The sequence below is a fragment of the Homo sapiens genome, chromosome 10, assembly GCF_000001405.40.
Source record: "Homo sapiens chromosome 10, GRCh38.p14 Primary Assembly".
Classification (NCBI taxonomy): Eukaryota; Metazoa; Chordata; class Mammalia; order Primates; family Hominidae; genus Homo; species Homo sapiens.
This window is the reverse complement of record NC_000010.11, coordinates 86,809,631-86,835,754: the sequence shown is the minus strand read 5'-3', so window position 1 is coordinate 86,835,754 and position 26,124 is coordinate 86,809,631. Positions and strand designations below refer to the sequence as shown.

The 26,124-nt window shown below is 39.2% G+C and overlaps 1 protein-coding gene across 36 annotated transcripts in view; it reads right to left on the bottom strand.

The window, feature by feature from the left end:
* BMPR1A (bone morphogenetic protein receptor type 1A) overlaps positions 1-26,124 on the bottom strand; it is a 177,082-nt gene that overhangs the window by 97,090 nt on the left and 53,868 nt on the right. The window contains exon 1 of one of the 36 annotated variants that reach the window (XM_047425680.1): positions 1,452-26,124. The exons of the other annotated variants lie outside the window; for them this stretch is intronic. The gene's annotated coding sequence lies outside the window, so the exon portion shown is untranslated. The remainder of the gene's footprint in view (positions 1-1,451) is intronic. 36 annotated transcript variants of the gene reach the window in all.

Here is a 26,124-nt window from a genome sequence, read left to right as displayed (position 1 = left end):
AGCTCACTACCCATGCAGAATCCAAGGACAAGCACTGATTATGGATATCATAACAGTTATCTATAAGGTTTCAGAATGTCACCCACTGATTTCTATTATTAGTAAGATTTGCTTTACAGAAAAGAATAGTGTAAATATTCTTTTACTCAATCTAGGCCAAAACACCTTTTTTTTTTTTTTTTTTTTTTTTTTTTTTTTTTTTTTTGATACAGAGTCTTGCTTGTCACCCAGGCTGGAGTACAGTGGCACGATCTCAGCTCACTGCAACCTCTGCCTCCTGGGTTCAAGCCATTCTCCTGCCTCAGCCTCCCCAGTAGCTGGGATTAACCATGCCCAGCTAATTTTTGTATTTTAGTAGAGATGCGGTTTCACCATGTTGGCCAGGCTGGTCTTGAACTCCTGACCTCATGATCCGCCCGCCTCAGCCTCCCAAAGTGCTAGGATTACAGGCGTGAGCCACCACTCCTGGACACTTGTTTGTTTTTTTTCTGTTTTTTTTTTTTTTCTTTTTTTCTTTTTAAAGACAGGGTCTCACTCTGTCACTCAGGCTGGAGTGCAGTGGCACGGTCATGGCTCACAGCAGCCTTGACCTTCCAGGCTCTAAGGATCCTCCTGCTTTAGCCTCCCAAGTAGCCAGCAAGTACGGCCATGCCCTAAGCCAAAATTTAAGATTAACTTTGAGCTTGTACCAGATATCAAGATGTAATGGAATTCTTAGAATTCGGTGGAATCAACAACACTGATTGCACATTTTTTCCTTCGGCTACTCCAAATCCCCTCTTCCCTATCATTTCTCCTCCCTTCTCAGCACCCAGAAAAAGCACCCCATGCACTGTACAAATACTGCAAACACTATAGTTGCATTCATAGGACCATTAAAAAAAAAGAGCCAAATTACAAAACAATCTATATTTTACAAACATTTCAGTTGGGTTCTTAAGCTAAAGATATTACTGTTTACTTTGGTACGATAACTAGAAAACACAAACATTATGCTCCAGAAAAACATAATGTGGTTTTAGCTGTAAATAACTCAAATGAACAGTTACTTTAGGATAGTATACCATGCACCCCTATAATAAACATGTAACCACCTAACTAGAAAGGGAGGGTCAACTCATGAATGGGTTGCGTTCTAAATTTCCAAAACTTCATTTATAAATTGAATATAAGGTTGATTTTGAAACTCAAGATGCCTTTACTCATAAAACCAAACATATAAACAGTTGTACTAAATCCATAGTCCAAAAGAACTTTAGTGTACAAATCTATCATAGCACTCTTCTGTTTAAGCTTGTATCTATGTCAAACTACAAGTTTCTTATTCATTTCTGTATCCTAGAATCCAGCATGACACAGTGTAGGATTTTGGCAAGTATTTGCTGTTGTGAAGTATTGAATAGTAACAACTCAATGATACAAAACTGGGTTGCATAGAAAATCTAACTTACCTGAACTACAGAAGAGACTCAAAAGGCAAGGGGAAAAGGCTTCTTCCAGAAGAGATAACAGAAAAAAATACTTGGGCTAGAAAGCTCTGGTCTGAACCAACTGTGACAATTTCCATTCCCCTTGCCAGTGGGTAGTCTGGTAACACATTCCTAATGCAATTCTGGCCAAGAAGACAAGAAAGTAAGTTTGCTAGGGAGCTTTTAGGAAAAGTTTTCTTGGCTGATGAAAAAAGACCCAGGTAAAAACACATGCTCCCAGCCTTTTTGCATGCAATTCTGGGTTTGAATGTGTAAACAAGAACTGGACCATGAGGACAACCCAACAGATCAAGAACAGCAGCAGCATTAAAAGATAGAAAGAACCTGGGTCCTTGGTGATGCTGTCATGCCTGAATGAATTAATCCTAGAATCATCTTAACGTGTATCTTTTCATATTAAATTCTTTTACTGTTTAAACAATTTGTCACAAGTAACTCAGCAGATAGGGTGACTTAGGAACAGATACATCATTTACTTCCATGAATTTAGTTGTTCCCTACACAATGTAAACTGCCCTAAATTTATACCTCAGCCCAGATCCTTCTTTTGAACTAGATACATGTTTCCAAACACTCTATTAAATGTTTATTCCAGTGGCACATCAAGAGAATAAGATCAATATAAAAGCCATCAACCACCAGCACAAAATCTGTTTATGTACCGGCAGTCACTTTTTGGCTAATGGCAGCACCGTTAGCCAAAAAGTGCCCAATTGCCGAAGTTTAAAATCTTGGGATCACAAGCCCCACCTCCCTCTGCTTCATCTATTATACTCAGGAGTTACTAAATGCTGCTCATTCTAGCTCTGATACACGTATCTTTAAAATGTCTCCCCATCTCTACACATATTGTCTGACGTAGGCTCTCATCTTTCATGTAGCTCACCTCCATTCTTACCTCTATTCATTGGACTCATGTCTCTAAAATATAACTATGCTTCATGAAAAGATTATAAACACCCTGTCATTAGGAAGATGCAAGTTAAAACTACAATGAGATACACTATACAGCCATTAAAATGGCCATAATCAAAAGACAATACCAAGTGTCGAGCATCTGGAGAAGCTGGAACCCGCATACATTGCTGACAGGACTGTAAAATGATGCAGTCACTTTGAGGAATAGTCTGTAAATTTTTTTTCTTTGTTCTTTTAGAGGTGAGGTCTCACTCTGTTGTCCAGGCTAGAGTGCAGTAGCCCAATCATGGCTCACTTCAGCCTTGACCTCTTGAGCTCAAGCAATCCTCCCGCCTCAGTCTCCCGAGTCACTGGGATTATAAGCGTGAGCCACCATGCCCTAATTTCTTAAAGTTATATATAAACTTATCACAGGATCCAAAATTTCCTTTTCCCAAGAGAAATATGTGCCCACACAAAGATTTATCTACAGATGTTCATAGCAGCTTTGTTCATAATAACCAAAAACTGGAAACAATCCAAACATCCATCAATTGCTGAGCACATAAATTGTCATCACCACAGAATGGAATATCATTAGGCAGTAAAAAGGCACAAAATACTGATACACATTACAGCATACATGAGCCTCAAAGACACGCTAGATGAAAGAAGCCAATGTAAAAATACTGCATACTGTATGTTTCCAACGCATAAATGTTTAGGAAAAGCAAATTTAGAGACAGAAAATAAGCAGTGGTTGCCTAGATGAGGAGGTAGAAGGCAGTGATTGTGGGAGGTGATAAAGTGTTCTAAAACAGTCACAGCACAAAAATTTACTAAAGTTAAAAAATTTAAGTGTGCCTACATTTTTTCAATGATTTCTTTTTTTTTTTTTTTTTAGACGGAGTTTCGCTCTTGTCGCCCAGGCTGGAGTGCAATGGCACGAACTCAGCTCACCACAACCTCTGCCTCCCGGGTTCAAGCAATTCTCCTGCCTCAGCCTCCCAAGTAGCTGGGACTACAGGCATGTGCCATCACACTCAGCTAACTTTTGTATTTTTAGTAGAGACAGGGTTTCACCATCTTGGCCAGGCTCATCTCGAATTCCTGACCTCGTGATCCAACCGCCTAGGCCTCCCAGAGTGCTGGGATTACAGGTATGAGCCACCGCGCCCGGCCTTTTTCAATGATTTCTAATTATGTACAAAATGAAGTCCAAATTCATTAGAAGGGCATTCACAGACTGCTATAATCTGTTTTCAATCTATTTAACGTAACCTGCCTTACCTTCTGCTACAGTTCGTTCCACAGGATTCTAGTAATAACACATTGTGCACTTATCACAGTGAACCATGATTACCTACTTATAGGTATATCATCTTTACAAAAAACTTGAGTATAGCCATAGCATTTTACTAGTGCTTGTGTCCCTAGTGTCTGATACACAGTACAGTGCCTGGCCTATAGGAGGTAATCAATACACTTCTAAATAAGTTAATGACAAATGGCATTGAAGAGAAAAATCCAAAAGTAGGTAAAATGAGCTATGCACCAAAAAAGACACTTGTACAAGGATGATTAGTGTCACTATTTTTTTATTTGAGACAGGGTCTTGCTCTGTCACCCAAGCTGGAGTGCAGTGGTGTAATCCTAATTCCCTGTAGCCTCCACCTACTGGGCTCAAGTGATCCTCCCACCTCAGCCTCCAAAGTAGCTGGGACTACAGGCAAGTGCCAACAAGCCTGGATAATTTTTTGTTTGTTTGTTCGTTTGTAGAAATAAGGTCTCTCTATGTTGCCCAGGCAGGTCTCAAATTCCTGGGCTCAAGTGATCCTTCTGCCTTGGCTTCCCAGAGTGCTGGGATTATAGGCATAAACCACTGTGCCTGGTGCCACTGTTATATAAAAAAGAAAAACAAGAAGTTACCCAATGTCATCTAAATGTTTATTAGAATAGGATCAATTAAGCAGTCACATTAAACACTACATAGTCATTTAAAATAATGAGATATATCTTTTTATATAGACATAAAAAGACATCCCAAATATCGAAGAAAAAAACTATAAAATAAGTTAATCCTCCATTATTTAAAAAAGAAAACAAAACCGTACACACAAGTACTCGCATGCGTACATCTGTGCATCGTGTATAAGGAAGGTGCAGGGCTGAAGGGTACACATGCAGCTGTACTGATGCAGACGAAGAAGTGAAAACAACCTTAATTGCCGATCAGCTGACAAATGGCTAAACAAAATGTGGTCTTATCCATGCAGTGGAACATTATTCAACCTTAAAAATAAACGAAGCCATAAAAAGAACTGGTTCATGATACAACAGGGATGAGGCCTGAATATATGCTAAGTGAAAGAAGCCAGACATATGATTCCACTTATAGGAAATATTCAGAATAGGCAATTTCACAGAGACCGAGAGTAGATTCGTGGCCGTCTGGGGCTGGAGAGTGGGGAATGGGGAATGGGGAATGACACCAAAAATACAATCCATGAAAGAAAAAAAAACACGATAAACTGAACTTCAACAAAATTAAAAATGTTTGCTCTACAAAAGACCTGTTTAAGAAGGCAAAAAAATGAGGTACAGGCTAGGAAAATATATTTGCTAACAATATATGTGATAAAAGCCTCATCTAGGATATATAAAGAAATCTCAAAGCTCAACAATTGAAAAAAATTTCAACTAGAAAATGGGCAAGAAATATAAAGACATTTTATTGAAGAGGATATATAGACGGCAAATACGCGCATGAAAAGATATGGTCAACATTACTAGACATCAGGGAAACGCAAACCAAACTATGCTGCACACCTACTGGCACAGCTAAAATAAAAAAATAGTGACAACACCAAATGTGGACACGAATGTGAAGAAACTGGATCTCTCATACACTGCCAGTGAGCATGTAAAATGGCACAGCTACTTACAGGTAAGCCACCAACTGCACACCCCTGGGCTCTGGCAAAGATTCTTTGCTTGACCAAATGAGCCAGGCTCCTGAACTTTTCTCCCAGGCCTATCTGTGTACTTCCTTGTAAATTCCTGTTTTAGCAAAGAACCCTGCTAAGCCAGATTAGCAAACCTCCCGTCAAGGTGTCTGATTACCCTCTTCTTCTTCTGCCACCCTCCAGCTGATGTCTGATCACCTTGGCCTGTCTTCAGCAAGAAAGAATCCTGTTACGGTCAGTTTAGGCAGAAACCCCTTACACCTGACATTTCCTCTTGAGAATTTTCCATCCACTGGCCCTCAACCAGCTCCTTGGCTACAAATTCCCACTTCCCCATGCTACATCCAGCACTGAGGCCACGCTCTCTCCCCACCCACTGTAAGACACTATTGTAGTGGTCCCTACACTTACAGGGATGATCCTGAATAATGTCTTCCTTCCCATGCTTTAACAAGTGTCACTGAATAATTTTTTTTTCTTTAACAGCACCTCTCCCAAAGAAATAAAAATTTATGTCCACACAAAAAACTGAACATGAATGTTCACAGCTGCTTTACTGTTAAAAGCCAAAAACTAGGGAAAGAGATTATCTTTCAAAAGGTGAATGGTTAAACAAACCATGGAATCCTATTCAGCAATAAAAAGGAAAGAACTGTTGATTCACACAACTTGGATAGATCTCAAGGAATTGCGCCAAGTGAAAATAAGCTAATTTTAAAAGGTCACATACTATGTGATTCCATTTATTAATATCCTCGAAATGTCAACATCATAGAGATGAAAAGCAGATTACTGGCTGCCATGGGGCAGGTGTGTGCAGCACAAGGGAGAGCTTGGTGGTGGCAGCATTTGTGTCTTGATGCCACAGTGGTTCACAAATCAACTACATATATGTTTAAACAGCACAGCACTAAACACATAAAATGTACCAATGTCAATTTCTAGTTTAATGCTGTGCTGTGGGTAGTAAGAAGTTACCATTAAGGGAAAGGTGAAAGGCACAAGGGACCTCTCCTTACTATTTTTTGCAATTTCCTGTAAACCTAGTTATTTCAAATTAAAAATTTTGAAGAACCTACTTTGAATAGTAAAATAACTGTTCAAGGACTATACGAGATATATTATTTCTTTGAAATTATCTTTCTTTTATGTAGGTGTGAGTGTATATACATATGTGTGTACATACAAGTTTATTTTTTGGAGAGCAAAGAAGAAAAAATCACTACGAAATTTCAATTCTGCCAAGGTTTCTAGTTTCCTAGAAACAAAACAGCAGTCCCAGGTCAACTTCTGGGTGCTCAGTCTGAAGTTGGGAAAGGGCCCTTTCCCTCCGTATCCCTCCTGTTCTGGCTCCGTGAAGGTGTGGCAATTCCGAGGGGAGTGCCAATCTGTGGCACCCGCAACAGACTGAACCCCAGAAAATCACCCAGCTCTATGTTCTTTTGCAATTTATCCTTCCCAACAATGAAGCATAAAAACACTTGCACATTCTCATTCTTGTTCTACAACTTACGAACCTAACAAGACATTTAAATTTTTTGATAACACCCTCTTTCTTTTTCCAAGTAAATCCAATTCGGCCAGTAGAGAAATTATTGTATATATATTTTTTTTTTATACAGAGCTTTTGAGAAATTATCAATAGACCATTTGTTTTATTAGCTAATAGGTAAATGTCCCATGGAACAAGCTTCCTAGAATAATTTCACCACATAAAACAGTTAAATTTCTACTGTTAATTCAGGAATTATCAGAGAGTGATTCTAGATTGCTAAGGGTTCACCAGATCTGCTAAAATCAGCATGATTACACTCTCTCAACACATAAAGAAATTCAGAATTGACATTATGAATACCAGAGTTATGCTACAATACAGTGAAATCATCAGGGACTATTAATACATGCTGCTATTTGTTTCAGATCTAAATAATCACAAAAGAGTGTTGTGGTTTTTTACTTACTGGCTTATTTGTTTTAGCTTGCACCCGTCTTTCCTTTACGTTTTTTCCCCTTTGTGAACCGCTACCTGGAATGCACACTTGCTAATAACAGCATCACCCTCTACCCACTTCTCCTTTATGTCATCCCTGGAAAACAGCAAACTAGCTTAATGTAGTTCTGTGGTTCAAGGTCTATAAAAACAAAAAGGCTGCATATGACGGATGGCCTGAGACTGAAGATATAAAAACTGAACACATCTTCTATTACGATCAAGTAATTGTTGTACCATGATACTGCAATTTTTTCCTTGAGACAGAGTCTCACTCTGTCACCCAGGGTAGAGTGCAGTGGCACGATTTCGGCTCACTGCAACCTCCACCTCCCTAGGTCCAGTGATTCTCCTGCCTCAGCCTCCCAAGTGGCTGGGATTACAGGCACGTGTCACCACGCTCGGCTAATTTTTTTATTTTTAGTAGAAATGCGGTTTCACCATATTGGCCAAGCTGGTCTTGAACTCCTGATCTTGTGATCCGCCCTCTTTGGCCTCCCAAAGTGCTGGGATTATAGGTGTAAACCACCGTGCCCGGCCTGCAACTTTTTTCTTTAAAGGCCACTTTAAGGAGAAGGGAGAGATGACATACCTGAATGAGTCAACCTAGGAAAAAACAAAGATGGGTGGAGCTAAAAAAGTAAACACATCTCAAATGCCTACTTAACATTTCTAACTAAATAGGCTAAAACTCAAAACAAATGAAATGTAACTCACTAACTCACTTGTCCATCCTCTCACAAACTTGCTCCTCTTGAACTCATCTGGCTTATTCCACAACTGTGTAAAAGAAGACATTCTGCCATACCTAGTAAAGCTGATGGTGTATACACCCAAGACTCAACAATCCAGGTCTATGCATATAACCTAGAGAACCTTTTGTACTTAGCTACCATGAGCCACGCAAAAGAATATTTAAAGCAGTATTTTTTCCATACCAAAAACTAGGTGAAACCGAGGTGTCAAGCAGCAGTAAAATGGACTGTGGTATATTCATAGAATATTCCATATTCCAGTAATTTGGAATATTATATCAAATAGTGAAAAATTAATGAACTTCGGCTAACAATGTCAACATAAATGACATCTCAAAATTGTAATATAAATAAAAAAATCAAGCCCAAGAAGAATATATACAGAATAATTCCATATGTATAAAGCTCAAAAACAGGAAAAGCTTAAAAAAAAAAGTATGTTAAAGGGACAACACAAATGTGGTAAAACTTAAGAAAAAACTAAGGGAATGACATCAAATTTAGGAGGATGGTTACCTCTGGGAAGGGAGGAATAATTGTCTTGAGGGATGAAGGAGTTCAAAATTGCTGTTACATTTCTCAAGATAGAAGTTTGGACCAGATTTATTCATGTATTGTTATTATTATTTAAAATGGATATATACATTATAAATAGATAGAAAGATAAGTAGATAGATCCTTGTAAGATTAAACCTATCTAAAGCAGACATGGTTAAATGTTAATATTTTAACAATTTAAAAAAAATTTAAATCTATGCCCACATTACATAAATGTCTATTACTTTATGTAATGTACATAAATGTCTATTATAGCACTTTCTATAATTTTGGAATACAACATACTAAGAAAATTAAGAGTAAATTACAAAATTCTATTTTGAAATTTAAAGACACAGTATCACAAATCTTTAACAGAAGTATATTAAAACAAATACTAAACTATTATACAGCGGAAAAAAAACATGTAAAAAAAATTACTTCTCCTAATGTAATATAATGGAAAATTAATGCCATCTATATAGTATATTCATTCCAAAATATTCTTATTTTAATCTAGGCATGAAATATAACCAGCAAATTGTGGGACTGCTTATATAAGAAAAGGAAAAATATGATGAGATTTCATAAAAGACCACTGCCGGGTGGTAGATGGAGGTGGGGTAGTGGCTTATCCTAAAGTAAAGGAAACTAAAGAAATATGACAGCCAAAAGCGGGTGTGTGTGTGTGTGTGTGTGTGTGTGTGTTTCCTTGATTGGTTTCTGGATCAAATATAGATCTATTTAGCTCTCTATAGATATAGATATATTTTTTCCCTTGGTTTCTGGATCAAAAATTAAAACATCTATAAAGAACTGTTCTGGGGAAGAAAATAAATGAAATTTAAATAGGGATCACATGTTAGATAATATTGTATTAATACTATATCTCTTAAGTATGATAATGTAACTCTTCAGGAAGACAACCTTGCTCTTAGGATACACGTGCTAAAATGTTTAGAAGTTAAATGTCAAGATGTTTGCAGCTTACTTTCAAATGGCTCAGGGGAATAAAAAAAGTATATATGTCTTTATAAACAGAGAAAGCAAATGAGGCAAACGTTAGCAAGTGAGCCACTGAGTTAGTGAAAGACACAAGGGTGTTCACTATTCATTCAACTTTTCTATCGATTTATAAATTTTTAACAATTTGCAAATATATGCATTTCATTCTTTAGTTATGGGTAGTAATTCTACCACAAAGTTTAATAAACAGTGTTAGTATGACAGAGCTTATTAAGATCAAATATTAACATATTTACAAGCAAGTCCCAAAGATCTTTCCTCCATCAGTAATTTTAAAACTTTTTTTCTGGAAATTGTGAATTACAAGTTGAATGAAAGGCCAGGCACGATGGCTCACACCTGTAATCCCAGTACTTTGGGTGACTGAAGCAGGAGGATCACTTCAGCCCGTGAGTTCAAGACCAGTGTGGGCAACATAGCAAGACCATATTTCCACAAAAAAATGTTAATTTAGCCAAGTATGGTGGCACGTGCCTGCAGTCCCAATTACTCAGGAGGCTGAGGTGGGAGGATCACTTGAGCCTGGGAAGTTGAGGCTGCAGTAAACCATCATTGCATCACTATACTCTAGCCTGGGCAACAGGGCAAGACCCTGTCACACACACACACACACACACACAAACAAAAAAAGTTAAATGAAAAATTAATTTTTTGCTTAAAAGGTCAAAAGATTATGTCTGTGCTTCAGAAACAATATCATAAGCAATTTGAGGGCAAGGATGTTTATTTTGGCAATTCAATTATACTATATATAATTCACAAAGACTTTATTTTACACTGCTAAAATAGATAAAACCATACTAATACATTAGAATGGGATTTCTTGGCTGGGTGCTGGTGGCTAACCCTGTAATCCTAGCACTTTCAGAGGCTGAGGTGGGAGGATCGCTTGAGCCCAGGAGGTTGAGGCTGCAGTGAGCAATGATCACGCCATTGCACTCCAGCCTAGGAAACAGAGTGAGTCCCTGTCTTAAAACAAACAAACAAACAAAAAGCAAGGAAAAAAAAAAAAAGAATGTCATTTCTAAATGTCCTATTATTTCTAATATATTTAGAAAATTACATTTCTAAATGTCCTATTAATAGTGTACGTTAAAATTTATTTCTCAAAATAGATTTATTTCCTAATGATGCATACTCTAAGATTATATTTACAATATTTTTCAGGATTGCTAAGCAGGTAGTAAGGGTGGAATCAATTCCTTTATGTGGACAAAGTTTCCTGAAAAACTAATTACATTTCATAGAAAATGATAACCACCGGTCACCTTAAGGATGTATAGGTTATGTCAGAATTTAGTCCAATTAAACTGTCATGTAATACTTGACTTAATTATTTACTAAAAACTTAAAATTATCTTCATAAAAAACCCAACTGTCACCCACCCAATATGTGTGCATCAATAAACTAACAAAATTCTAGAAGTTACAGAAAATAAAATTATTTTCAATTAAGAGCACCCATGTAAAATCCATCCCTTGTACACGAATATGCCAACTAGTGATTTCAAACAGGAGAAATAAGTCTAGCAATATTTCCTCCAAAAGGCCAGGTGTGGGACAGCGCTGCTCCATGTCCGTGGGTGGATAAACACACAGGGAAGAAAGTTTTAGATGGGAAGCCTACATTTAAGTTCTCATCTCTGTGTGATGAGAGGCAGGTAGTTAATTACCGTACAGCACTGTCTTTTAAATCCGTGAGTCACATGCCTAAGGGAGGGGCCTGGATGCAGGATGAGCAGCAACTAGGGCAATCAAGGAAGGTTTCAAAAGGAAGCAACAACAGGTTCTGAGGAGCTGCAGACAGGCAATTAGCAGCAACTACTACCCCAACACAATGCACATAATCCAACAGCCAACTAGGGACTGCCCACCTTCTTGCAAAAACACAGCATGTACCTTTGGGACTAAGTTTGTGAGGCTAGGTATGTTTGAATTTCAGAGATATTCTATTATCGACAGACAAGTGAGACTGAAAGAAACACACACACACACACACACACACACACACAACCCTTGGTAATATTTCCAGGGGCCATTAAAGCAAATTTTAAAACATTTAAGACATAGTTCCCTGCCTGCAAGAAACATGTAATCAACATGAGGAGCCAAGACATAAAGATATTCAAATTTAAATAATGGTAACAGATGATACTGCAAATGTCATACCACCACACATGATGATTAACCGAAGAGCACTAACGTTTACTGCTTCACAGGTGGGAAGTAATTTAAGGTGGCCTTCCAAGGATCCGCAGGATTTGATACTATGCAAGGAGGGAGTAGTGCAAGTTCACACGAGCATTCCACAGGGAGGGTCAGGGAGGATACTTTGTGGCTGGTCATGGCCCCATGGAGGGTCTGGATTCTATGGTTGTGAAGCAGGATCACCAATGTATGGTCTGATCCAGATGACAAATATACAGCTGCCCTAAGGCCCATGCCCACAGCACACACAACTGCTCATTTTAGTTCTCCTTCCAACCAAGCATTAAAGACCTCATAGTGCTTTTCCATACAGAATCCTCAGCAGCCAAGATGTCAGGATGTTTGAAATGCATCTACCATTCTTTAGGAAGTAAAGAGAAGAACATAAAGATAAGAAAGAGCATGGGCTCTGTAGCCAGACTGAATACCAAGGTTAGAATCCTGGCTCCACCACTTAACTGTTGTAATCCTTTGACCAAGTTGTTTAACCTCCTCCGTACCCAATCTGTAAAATGAGGATCAAAGGAGTTAATATAGGTATGGCACTTAGAACAGTGCCAGGCAGACAGTAAGCACTAAGTGTAAGCTACTGTTATTGTTCTCTATCAACAGGAAACCAACTGTATTTTCAGAGAGTAATTAGAAGTTTATACGGGAGAATAATACAAGCAGCTGTATTAAAAGCTTGCTGGATACAGAAAACACTGTGAATCACTGGTAGAAACACCTTCCATTATTTAATAACATTGCCTAATAATAGCATCAAACACTTGCTGGTTGATTTAAGAACAAAATTATGGCAATAATATTTACCGAGTTCCATTTATCAAACATTTACTATGTGCCGGTTACTGTGCTAAATTCTATACATTTATTATCTTGCTTAATCCTTAAAATAAGCCTATGAGCCAGATACCACTAGTAATCCCATATTACAGATAAGAAAACTGAAGCTCAGGCCGGCACAGTGGCTTGCATCTATAATCCCAGCACTCTGGGAGGCTGAGGCGGGCATATCACCTGAGGTCAGGAGTTCGAGACCAGCCTGGCCAACATGGTGAAACTCCATCTCTACTAAAAATACAAAAATTAGCCAAGCATGGTGGCCTGTAATCCCAGCTACTTGGGAGGCTGAGGCAAAGAATCACTTGAACCCAGGAGGCAGAGGTTGCAGTGAGCCGAGATCGCGCCACTGCACTCCAGCCTGGGTGACAGAGTAAGACTCTGCCTCAAAATAAAAATAAAAATAAAAATAAAAACGGGAAAAAAAAAGAAAACTGAAGCTCATAGTGATTAAGTAACCTTCTCAAAGTCACACAGTTAATACATGGTAGATTTGGGATTTAAACCCAGATCAGCCAGACTCTAAACATTGTACTTTTAATCCTAATGCCATACGTTTTCTTCCCAAATCCTGAACCAATTGCCCATGACTGTGATAATGGTTGTACAGATCCGTGAGTATACTAAAAACCATTGAAGTGTGTGCCCTTTAAATAATTGTATGGTATGTGAATTATATCTTAATAAAGCTGTTTCAAACCATTAACAAAAAATAGTAAAATCAGGATACAGGGTCCTTGGGGTTTTACTCATACACAGACTGGGACTAGAATAAAAAGGAAAATTGAATTCATTTTGGATAGAAAAATGAGTATTTTTCAAATGGAAAGATTTAGAACCTGTATATAAATACATGACACATGCTAAAGTTGGACCTAAATAATGAATAAAATGTAGATCAAGAAATATCTGTGAGGCCAGGCATGCTGGCTCGGGTCTGTAATCCCAGCAATTTGGGAGGCCGAGGTGGGTGGATCGCTTGAGCCCACGAGTTCGAGACCAGCCTGGGAACATGCAGTTCGAGACCAGCCTAGGAACGTGGTAAAACCCCTCTCTACAAAAAATACAAAAATTAGCTGGGTGTGGTGGTGCGTGCCTGCTGTCCCAGCTACTCAGGAGGCTGAAGTGAGAGGACCACTTGAGCCTGGGAGGTCCAGACTGCAGTGAGCCATGATTGTGTCACTGCACTCCAGCCTGCACAGAGCCAAGAACCCGTCTCAAGAAACAAAAGGAGGGAGGAAGGAGAAGAGAGGGGGAGGGGGGAGAAAAAAGAAACATCTGTGGGTAATGATGATGTCACAGTGATCCCCTTATCATCAAGTCAACGTTTTGGCAAGAGAGAGGTAACAACATGATCATATTGTTATTCACTTTTAGCAAGGGAGCAGCACAAAATGTGGGCAATAGCATAAAGTTTTTTGGAAAAATGTAATGAAGTTAATGGTCTCCTGTACAGCCTTGGGAGGTATAAATGCAGCCTCTCTAGAGAGCAACTTAGCAATGAGCATGATGTACCCACTAGCTGAGCAATCCTACTAATAAAAATCCACATTTAAAAAAAATCATGTTGTGCACCCAGATTTAGTGACACGTATGGTCTTACAACACGCTTAATGACGGCAGAACAAGCAAAAACAAAAATAATGTAAATTATAGTACAGTCAGACAATATTGTTAATAACAGCTGATGTTTATTAAGTGCCAAGAATTATTTCTATGTGTTAGCTCACTTAATACTTACAGCAACCCTAGAAGTTAGTAAGAATGTTATAACTATTTTCAAGATGAGGAAACTAAAACCCAGAGGAGTAACTTCCTTCAGGTCACACTGCAGCAGTAACTGAAGCCAGGATTTGAACCAAGGCAGTCTCAACACCGCCACTTCGTGTAACTACAAATGTTATGCCACACGAGAATAAGTACTTGGAAATATACTCACAATATATTAAGATAGAAAAAATCAGATCACAAAATAACCATGTGATCCTTTTCTGTTTAATGCATTTAAAAAGAGAGCGATGGAAATGACATGCCCTAGAGCTTAACAATAGGTACTGCTGGTATTACAGTTGATAATTGTCTTCTTTATACTTTTCCATATTTTCCAAATTTTCCACTGCAGGATGATTTTTTTAAATGACCTTCTTTAAAAAAATAAGTGAAAAGATGATTATTATTTAAAACACTGCAAAAAAGGACAAGTAACAAAAACCATGGAACCAGCAGTTAAATCTGCTATTGGGGTTGCTGATTCCAGAGAAGTGGTAGATGCCAACCAGGCAGTGGCCAGTAAGAAGTATATGAAACAGTGACAGGTGCTAAACAGGCATCAACTAGCATCCGGAGAAGTCCGGGGGGAGGGCAAGGAGCACGGTACATAGCTCTGAGGTAATGGCAGTATCAAGGGAAGGTTTTGCTGGTTTGTTTTGAACTTGAAGGAGATTTGATCAGTGTTACAATCGAACTAGAAACAGTCAAGGATGGAGAGATGGATAATGAGAGGGAGGTCTCAGACGATAAGGACTGAGCCTTAGAAAAAGGGAAAACTTCGTGTGAAACAGCCGAGAAGGAAGAAAAGAAGTCATACAGTGATCTTTGAGGTGGAGACAGAAAAAACTGACAGACTTTAATTTGGTACCCTCTAGCTTCTCTAAGAAAAAAAAAAAAAAAGATGTCATCTTCCAAACTAAAAAAAGGTGATTCTGGGTGCAGTGGCTCATGCCTGTAATCCCAACACTTTGGGAGGCCAAGGCAAGAGGATTGCTTAAACCCAGTAGTTTGAGACCAGCCATGGCAACGTGGCAAAACCCCATCTCTACCCAAAAATTTTTAAACAGCCAGGCATGGGGGCATAATCCTGTAGTCCCAGCTATTCAGGAGGCTGAGGTGAGAGAACCACTTGAGCCTGGGAGGTGGAGGCTGCAGACGAGCTATGATCACACCACTGCACTCCAGTCTGGGTGTCAGAAAGTTAGACCCTGTCTCAAACAAAACAAAACAAAAACTAAACTAAAAATGTGGTATTAGGTACAGGGTGAGAAGCAGGGTTAGTAGGAAAAGTGCTAGAAAGCAACTGGATTCACCTTTTGCCAGAGCTAGCAGAAACCATCAGCCTAATCATCAATTGACCACAACTTCTCCTCTGGACAATTCACATTACAGACATAAATAAGAGTATTGCAGTAAGTTGGAAAAATCGTTTATTATTCACAGTTAACATGTACATAAGCTATGCCACTCATAACTGAAGAACCCATGGTATGCCTGGAGACTGTTACCCTACCGGTAATTCCAAGGATAACAACCACTACCACAATCCATGAGGCTGACGTGATAAGTGCCATTACTTTTAGATGAGATGCATAGGCAAAAGAAGCACTAGGCTTCAAGCATAAATTTCTAATTTGACAATAAAAACTAGTTTGCTATGAAAATTCAAGTTGTGGCCGGGCACGGTGGCTCACGCCTGTAATCCTAGCACTTGGGGAGGCCGAAGTGGGCGGATCACGAGGTCAGGAGATCGAGACCATCCTGGCCAAAATGATGAAACCCCATCTCTACTAAAAATACAAAAATTAGTTGGGCATGGTGGCGCGTGCCTGTACTCAGGAGGCTGAGGCAGGAGAATCGCTTGAGCCCAGGAGGCAGAGACTGCAGTGACCTGAGATCGCACCACTGCACTCCAGCCTGGGAGACAGAGCGAGACTCAAAAAGAAAAAAAAGAAAATTCAAGTTGTAAAGATCTCAAATTCTGTATAATTGAAAAGTTTTCTAAGACAAGCCAATTGTTACAAAACATGGTATTTTTAACACACATACAGAGATCTCCAGAGATGTAAGTGGCTTTAAAAAATAAGTAGCAATAATAATAGTAATAATAATAATAAATAAGTAGCCATTTCTTCATGTGTGAGGATACAGTCACGGAAATAAGAATATAAGATACAGAGGTAAGAGCTGAGTACTGTTTAATACGTGGCTGGCTTCACTTGCATGCCCAATGCTTTACATGCATTACCGCATTTCATCCCCAAAACAATTCGGAGGCAGGAATTCTTCGGGTTCATTCAACGTATTTACTGACTGCTAGTTCTGTGTCCCAGGAACTAATCTAAACCTCAGCATACAGCAATGAACAACAACAAAAAAATCCAAAAAATCTTGCCTTCTTGGAAACTGTATCCTATTTCAGTGTCTGTCTTAAGGGGCTTGAGTAATTTCTCTATGGAGTCAAATAAAGTGGGTGGCAGAGATGGAACTCCAATCCAGGTATGTCAGATCACAGGTACACAGTCTGAATCATTCAAACTATGATTCTAGCATATGTAACTGCTGCTCAATAGAGAGAAAAAATAACTTCTACATTTATCTGAGTTTTTCAATAATAAATAGTACTTATTTGAGAATTTTGAATATTTTGTTGTTTTGCTTATACTACTGCCCTCCCTATAGGAAATGACCTGTCAAGAAAAACTAGCACTAATCCTCAGTTAACGTTTCTTTCCATTCACTTTATAAATTTTAAAGCAAAAAATCCTGAGACAAAAGCAATCTGAAAGCCTCTTCATCTGCGCCCTAAAATTATTAACCGAAGAACTATTCATACTTCAGCAAACTTCAATCTTCAGTTAACATGTTTCTTTCCACTTAATAAATTTTAAAACAAAAAAACCTGAGCTAAAAGCAGTCTGAAGACCTCTTCATCTGCTCCCTAAAATTATTAGCTGGCGGGACACGGTGGCTCACACCTGTAATCCCAGCACTTTTGGAGGCCGAGGAGGGCAGATCACGAGGTCAGGAGTTCGAGACCAGCTTGGCCAACATGGGGAAACCCTGTCTCTACTAAAAGTACAAAAATTAGCCAGGCATGGTGGCAGGTGCCTGTAATCCTAGCTACTTAGGAGGCTGAGGCAGGAGAATCGTTTGAACCCGGGAAGCAGAGGTTGCAGTGAGCTGAGATCATGCCATTACACTCCAGCCTGGGCAACACGGTGAGACTCCGTCTCGAAAAAATATTAATCAAAGAACTATTCACACTTCAGCAAACTTCTTAAAATATTAGAGGAAACTCTGCTAGTACTTTATTGAAGATTTTGGCATCAACGTTCCTAAGAAGTATTATCTGTAGTTTCCTTGTAGTATCTTTGTCTAACTTTGGTGTCAGTGTGATGTTGGCCTCATAGAATGAGTTGGAAAGGGTTCTCTTTCTCCAGTTTTTTTTGTTTTTGAAAACTTGAAGAATGGTATTAGTTTTTCCTTAAATGTTTGGTAGAATTCACCAGTGAAGCCATCAGGTCCAGGGTTTTTCTTTTCTGTCAGGAGATTTTTGATTACTCATTCAATCTCCTCACTAGTTACAGGTCTATTCTGATATTCTGTTTCTTCATTATTTAGTCTTAGTAGGTTTTGTGTTTCTAGGAATCTGTCCATTTCATCCAGGTTATCCAATTTGTTGGCATTTGTTTACAGTACTCTTTTAGTTGCATATCCACGTTAATGGCAGCATTATTCACAACAGCTAAAATGTGAAAGTAACCCAAGTATCCATGGATGAATGAATGGATAAGCAAAATGTGGTATATGCATACAATGGAGTATTGTTCAGCCTTAAGGAGGAGGGAAATTCTGAGACATGCCACAACATAAACCTTGAAGACATTATGCTAAGTGAAATAAGCCAGCCACCAAAAAGAAAAATACTAAATGATGCCACTTATATGACGTACTTAGTAGTCAAGATCATAGAGACATCAGTAGAATCATGGTTGCCAAGGATGGGGAAAGGGAAGAAGGGAGAGTTGTTATTTCAGCTTTACAAGATGAGTATATTTTCAGCTTCACCAGATGAAAAGAGTATGGGAGATGGATGGTGGTGATGGTTGCACAACATTATGAATGTATTTAATACCACTGAACTATATACTTAAAAATGGTTAAAATGATAAATTTGGGGTATGTATATTTTACCTTGATTTTAAAAATTGGAAAAAAATATTGTAGAAATGGGGATGGCTGGAGAAGAGCTTTATCGCAAAGACTCATTTTTTCACTTGTACTTTCATTATCTGAATTATTTAATATGCAAACAGATCACTGATAATATGCACATAGACTCATATTATTATTATCTTTCCCTTAACAAGTTAATTCCTGTTAGAATTTTCCACCAGTGTCTGGTGTATCTTGGGTGCTGTTCCCATAAAGAGTGGTTCGTCAACCCCAACTGGACCCTCTCTGCATGTAGGTGAGGCTTGTGAACTAGCAGGCTTTACTGCAGGGTAACTCCTGCTTGTGCAGATACGGAGAGCCTTAAATATCGGGCTCTGTTGATCTCTTTCCTGAAGCCATTCGATTTCTTAGAAAAGAGTCCTTCAGTCTCCTAGGTGAAGTGTATAACTCCAATTGTCAGTGCTCTGCAAACAAGTGGAAAAAGGACATGGACAGAAATTAAAGACAAGGAAGTGTATCTCCTGATCCAGTAGGTCGACTTTCGCTTAATCCCCATCTGTAGTGTACTCCTCTTCTGTACTCTCTTCAAATCTGGAGTTTCACTGATTCAGTTTCTCTGACAATCAACTGACCAGCTTTTGTCAAAATGAGGGAGGGGTACTGAATTACTAAGGTAGGGGTCAGTGCTGCGGATAATGCCACAAATGTGACCACGTGTATAATTTTAAATTTTCTAAGCAGCTTCATGAAAAAAACTAAAGAGAAAGCTGAAAATAATTTCAATACATCTTATTTAACCCAATGAATACAAGATGTTAATATGTAATATAAAAATTATTAAGATATTTTACACCTTTTTTTCCAAATATAGTATTATTTTAAAGTTACAGCACATCTTAATTAGGACTAGCCACATTTCAAGTGCTCATGGCCACATGTAGCCTAGTGGCTGCCATGTTAGACAGCACAGGTCTAAGTGATGCTGTGGTAACAACCCCAACATTTCAATGGCTTAGCACAACAGAAATTTATTTCTGCCTCATGTAATATGTCCAACACGGGTATGCAGGGGCCATTTCCAGTTATTCAAAGAGCCAGGCTGACCACCTTGTTCCTGCATCAAATGAATCCTATGACCAGGGATATCCTAGGCAAGAAAGAGAGCAGAGCATCTTCATGGGCTTTTCACTATGCCAACTCAGAAGTAACACAACCTCCCTCAAAGTCCACTGGCCAGCATCAGTCACCTGATCCCATCTAACATCAAGGAGCAAAGGAATTAAATGTTCCCATCAGCCTGGGACTAAAGAAGACCTAGATGTGGACGAGCACTAAGAAGTCACTGCCACAGGTAGGCACTTGGCCGCGTGGGTGGGTGTGAGGCACAGGATCTCAGTCCTAGATTCCAGGGTATCGCTATTTCATATACAGATTTTTAAACCAGTGTTTGGCCTGAACTCTCATCTCCAGTTACAGATAAAACCAGTGCCTGCAAATCTCCAGCCTTGAGAGAGGTAAAGACTGATTTGCTTCTTCCATGTCCCTCTACAAGCCAAATAACAAACAAGTCTTCATTGGAACGAACAGTGGGCACATTTGAAGATGCAGATGGTGCAAAGGGCCTATAGCGTAAGGGTTGAAGTGGACAAGCCCTGATGAAGCCCTGATGAACTTGAAAATGACCAACCAGACCTCCCTGCTAGGAAACAGCCTCACTCACACAGAAAAAAAACTGCTGAAAATTAAAACAGAATTGAACAGGAAAAGGTTCTCCAGAAACAAAGGAAAGAGGAGGCCCACATAAAAGTGAGGGGCAGTAGTAGAAACAGGAGACCTCAAAGGCAATCTGTGTTTCATAACGGAAAAATAACTCTGTGAAATTAGAAATGCTATCCTGAGTCACTAGGCTTTCTTCCAAACATTCAGGAAAATGAACTTCCAATAAAACTGACCCATGGCAAAGTTTTCAGATCCAAATCTCATAGAAGTTATTATAAGAAAATGGGGAAGGGGCTAGGCATGGTAGCTCACGCCTGTAATCCCAGTACTTTGGGAGGCCGAGGCGGCAGACCACGAGGTCAGGAGTTCAAGACAAGCCTGGCCAATATGGTGAAACCCTGTCTCTACTAAAAATACAAAAATTAGCCGAGCATGGTGGCGCGCACCTATAGTCCCAGCTACTCGGGAGGCTGAGGCAGAAGAATTGCCTGAACTCAGGAGGCAGAGGTTGTAGAGAGCCGAGATAGCACCACTGCGCTCCAGCCCAGGCGACAGAGTAAGACTCCGTCTCAAAAAAACAAACAAACAAAAAAAAACAGTGAAGGAATCGGGAACAAAACAACAAAACAACATCCTCCTTACAGACAAATACATCATGCTAGAAGGCCAGAAACACAAAGGAGATTAAAATTAGAACCTACTATTAGTATTTCAAAATGAGCTAAAAACATTAAGAAAATTATATAAAGCATGAAAAACAACATCAGAACAGAAGAAACTCAGAAATGTGAGAACATGACTCAGTAAGTAATTAGAAATTTAAAAATTTATTTGAGAAATGAAGAATAAAACCCAAGGAACACAAGAATGAATATTACAGATAATGCCTTCGAGAAATTGAAAGTAAGAAGGAAGATAATTCTAAAAACCAAAAACGAAATGATGAAATAATAGGATTCTAAAGAAAGCAACAAAAATTGTTCCTATTTCTTATATAACAGGAATCCCTGGAGAAAGCAAAAGCAGGAGAACAAGCAACACTAAAAACTGTAATCCAAGAAATTTTTGCCAAAATTAAGAAAAAAGAGCTAATGCAGCCCATACTCTCAGCATTGGGGAAGCTGAGGCGAGAGGATCACTTGAGCCCAGGAATTAGAGGCCAGCCTGGATGACATGCCAGGACACCAGAAAAAAATTAGAAACTACATATTTAAGGCACACATTGCATACTGGAAAATACTGGGCCAAAATAATCAATACCAAGATATAGTAAAATTGCAGGATTTTTAAGGAAAAAATAAACTTGAGCATCTAGGCAAAAACATCAAGTAATTTATAAGGGAAAAAAACTACATTAACAACAAACTTTCCAAAGCAACATATTATACCAGAAAATAAAATACTCAAGGAAGGAAAATGAAAGCCAAGAATTTTATGGCCAGTAGAACTTTCGAGTATAAACATTATACATATTATCAACATACAAAAACTCAGGGAATATTGTTCCCATAAGCCCTTCTAGAGATATCTACTAGAAAATGAGTTTGAGAGAACCCATGTAGATAGAGGGATACTGACATAGGAATAGAGGTGAGCGCTAAATAGTTACCTGTCGACTACACAGGGACGAAGAGGAACAGAATACAAGGGCGCATAATGGGTGTGCGTTCTAATGGCAACATGCCCTGGTGATATATGGAAGACAACTGCACAGGGAATGGGGGGAAATGGAGAGCGCATGCAAAGAATGGTTTTAACTGGTTTCAACCCATGGTGGATATATTAGTATTGTTGTTTTGTAACTGTCAGAGACATAATATGTGACAAAATAAACGAGTAATTATCAAATATTCTACCACACCTATGTCCTTGAAAACCAGGATTCCGAGGGTAGTACCTCCCAGCACTATCCACTTAGAATTAGAAACGAAGACTAACTCAGTAGCAATAAGCATTAGAACACCCCAACAGTCCTGGCAGTGGTTTTGAAATACCATTTCCCACTGAAAAAAACCCAAGGCTTCTTGGAGATATTCCAGGTGTGAGGCAGAAATTGTAAAAGATGTTCCCGGAAAGTCTCATTTTATAAGGTAGTGAGGGGACAAATCACAGACTATGAGTCACTTTAGAAGGACTCAGAAGCCTACCAGAAGAGGCTGCCCTTGGCCAAAAACGAACAATTTGAGCTTTAACAGGTGTAAGAATTACAATGGACTGAACCCCAACAAATGAGTTCATAACAATTCAAAAAACAAAAAGGAAAGAAAATCACCTTCAGAGAAGATAGGGAACCAAATTCATTATTTTTAAAATTGTTACAATTCCAACTATATGACATTTCTGGAAACAGCAAAACTATGAAGACAGTAAAAAGATCAGTGCCAGGGGTTGAGAGGAGGGAGCGATAAATAGGCAGAAAGCACAGAGGATTTATAGGGCAGTGAAACTATTCTCTATGATACCATAATGGTGAATAGACATCACTCTGCATTTAATATATAATATAACCCATATAATGTACAACACCAAGAGTGAACCCTAATGAAGCCTAAAGACTTTGCGTAATAAGGACATGTCAACATAGGTTCATCAATTGGAAACAATGTGCCACTCTAGTGGGGGATGTTGAGAGTGGGGCAGGCTATGTACATGTGGATTGGGGGGATATGGGAACTCTTCGTACTTCTTCAATTTTGCTGTGAACCTGAAAATGCTCTAAGAAACAGTCTGTTTTTAAAAACTGCCAGTAAAAGGAGAGAACAAGCATGTATCTTGTCTTTCCTATTCCCTGGAGAACTAAAAGGCATACAGCACTGTAGGAATATGCTGGTAATCCCATTCCTAGGTACTTAGCTGGTGAAATGTAACCTATGTGCAAGCAAGAAATGTATACATGAATGTATAGAGCAGCTCTATTCATCATCGCCAAAAACTGGACACAACACGTAAGTCCTTCTAAAAGTGAACGAATAAAAAACTGGCACATCCATCCAATGGAATGATAATCAACCACAGAAAGGGACAACACTCTTCACACATGCAACAACCTGGATGACCCTCAAAAGGCATAATGCTAAATAACACAGTCTCAAGAGGGTACTTCAAAAAGACAAAACTAGAGTGACAGGAAACAGGTTGCTGGTTTCCAGAGTTGGGGTGAAGTAGGGGTGTGACTGCAAAGGGATAGCAGGAGGTTTTCCGGTGACTGAACTGCTCTGTATAATGACTTGTAGTTTGTTATATCTATAGATGTGTTAAAATTCATAGAACTGTATATCCCCAAAAGCTCTATTTTTAGGGTTTTTTTTTTTCTTTTTTGCCCTGGAGAGCAGTGGCATGCTCAGAGCTTACCACAACCCTCAAATTCCTGGGCTCAAACAATCCTCTCATCTCAGCCTCCCGAACAGCCAGGACTACAGGTTGACACCACCACGCCTGGCTAATTTTTCTAATTTTTTGTACAAATGATGTCTCACTATGTTGACCAGGGTGGTCTTCAATTCCTGGGCTCAAGCGATCCTCCTGTCCCTGCTTTTATTAATTTTTAAAATAAAATTTAAACAAAAGTTTGTCAGCTAACAAATGATAACAGAATTAGACTATCATACATTTGCAAACCCCAATGAAGACCTAATCAGCATTCAGCATCAAAGCTACTAAAATAATATCACAGAGACACAACCACACATTGTGTGTCTCCTAATATAATAGCATACTGACTGCCTGTAAGATAGACAAAAGCCCTTGAACATCAGAATCTGATCACACCTCTTGGTGTAGCTGCCAATTTGCAGGAAATACAGAGACAGAGAGAAGCTGAACTGTACCATGGGAACATAATTAGAAAAATCCAGACCATAGGAAACTCTACAGGTCAAATAGGCAAAATTCTTCAACAGATAAATGAGAGGCAGGAAGGGGAGAATCCATCCATTAAAACAGACTTAGAAGACATATTAAGACACACAAAAATACAAGCAACAAAGGGAAAAACAAATATAAACTGAACATCATAAAAATTAAAAATTGTGCTTCTGGCCGGGAGTGGTGGCTCACGCCTGTAATCCCAGCACTTTGGGAGGCTGAGGCGGGTGGATCACTTGAATTCAGGAGTTTGAGACCAGCCTGAGGAACATGGCAAAACTCTGTCTCTACCAAAAATATAAAAATTAGCAGGGTGTGGTGGTGTGTACCTGTAATCCCAGCTACTCGGGAGGCTGAGGCAGAAGAATCACTTGAACCCGGGAGCCAGATGTTGCCGTGAACCAAGATGGCACTACGGCACTCCAGCCAGGGCAACAGAGCAATACTCTGGCTCAAAAAACAAACAAACAAAAAAACCAAAAACGGGCCGGGTGCTGTGGTGGTTCACCGGCAAGGTGGGTGGATCACCTGAGATCAGGAGTTTAAGACCCGCCCGACCAACATGGCAAAACCCCATCTCTACTAAAAATACACACACACACACACACAAATGTTGTGCTTCAAAGGGCACCATCAAGAAAGTGAAAAGACAACTCAAGGAATGGGAATGGTAGAAAATTTTTGTAAATCATGTAACTGATAAGGACTTGTATCTGGAATATATAAAGAACCATTGAAATTCAACAATAAAAAGAGAAATAACCCAGTTAAAAATGAGCAAAGAATCTCAGACAGTTCTCCAAAGAACATATGCATATGAGCAATAAGCACATGGAAATATGCTGAACGATATCAGTAACAAGGAAACACAAATAAAAAACACGACAAAATACTTCAGACCCACCTGAGTGGCTATAATAAAAAAATAATAACAAATGTTGCCAAGGATGCAGAGAAGCTGGAACTTTTATAACCTGCTGGCAGGGCTGTAAATGGTGCAGCCATTTTGGAAAAGAAAACCAGTTCTTCAAATGGTTAAGCACAGAGTTGATTCTGTAATTCTTTTCCTATATACCGAAGAGAAACAAAAACATATTTCCACACAAAAACCTGTACAAATATGCTCATAGCAGCATTATCTGGAACAACAGCCAAAAGGTGAAAATAACCCAAATGCCTTATCAACCAACGAATGAATACATTACTCTACACAATAAAATAATATTCAGCAGCCAGGCGTGTTGGCTCACGCCTGTAATCCCAGCACTTTGGGAGACTGAGGCGGGTGGATCACCTGAGGTCAGTAGTTCAAGACCAGCCTGGCCAACATGGTGAAACCCTGTCTCTACTAAAAAATAATAATAATACAAAAATTAGTCGGGCGTGGTGGTGGGCGCCTGTAATCTCAGCTACTCGGGAAGCTGAGACACAAGAATCGCTTGAACCCGGGAGGCGGAGGTTGCAGTGAGCCGAGATCATGCTACTGCACTCTAGCCTAAGAGACAGAGTGAGACTCTGTCTCAAAAATAATAATAATAATAATATTCAGCAACTAAAAGAAATGAAGTACTGATACGTGCTATATGGATGAGCCTTGAAAAAATGTGCTAAATGAAATATGCCAGGCACAAATATGCAATTCCACCTATATGAGGCACCTCGAACAGGCAAATTCATATTAGACAGAAAGTACTATAGTGGTTACCAGGGGCAGGAAGGAAGGAATACTACAGAGTTATTGTTTAATGGGTAAAGAGTTTCTGTTTGCGGGTAGGCGTCCTGGCTCACACCTGCAATCCCAATACTTGGGGAGGCTGAGGGGAGAGGATCGCTTGAGGCCAGGAGCTGAGGCCTAGACGACAGAATAAGACCCTGTCTCT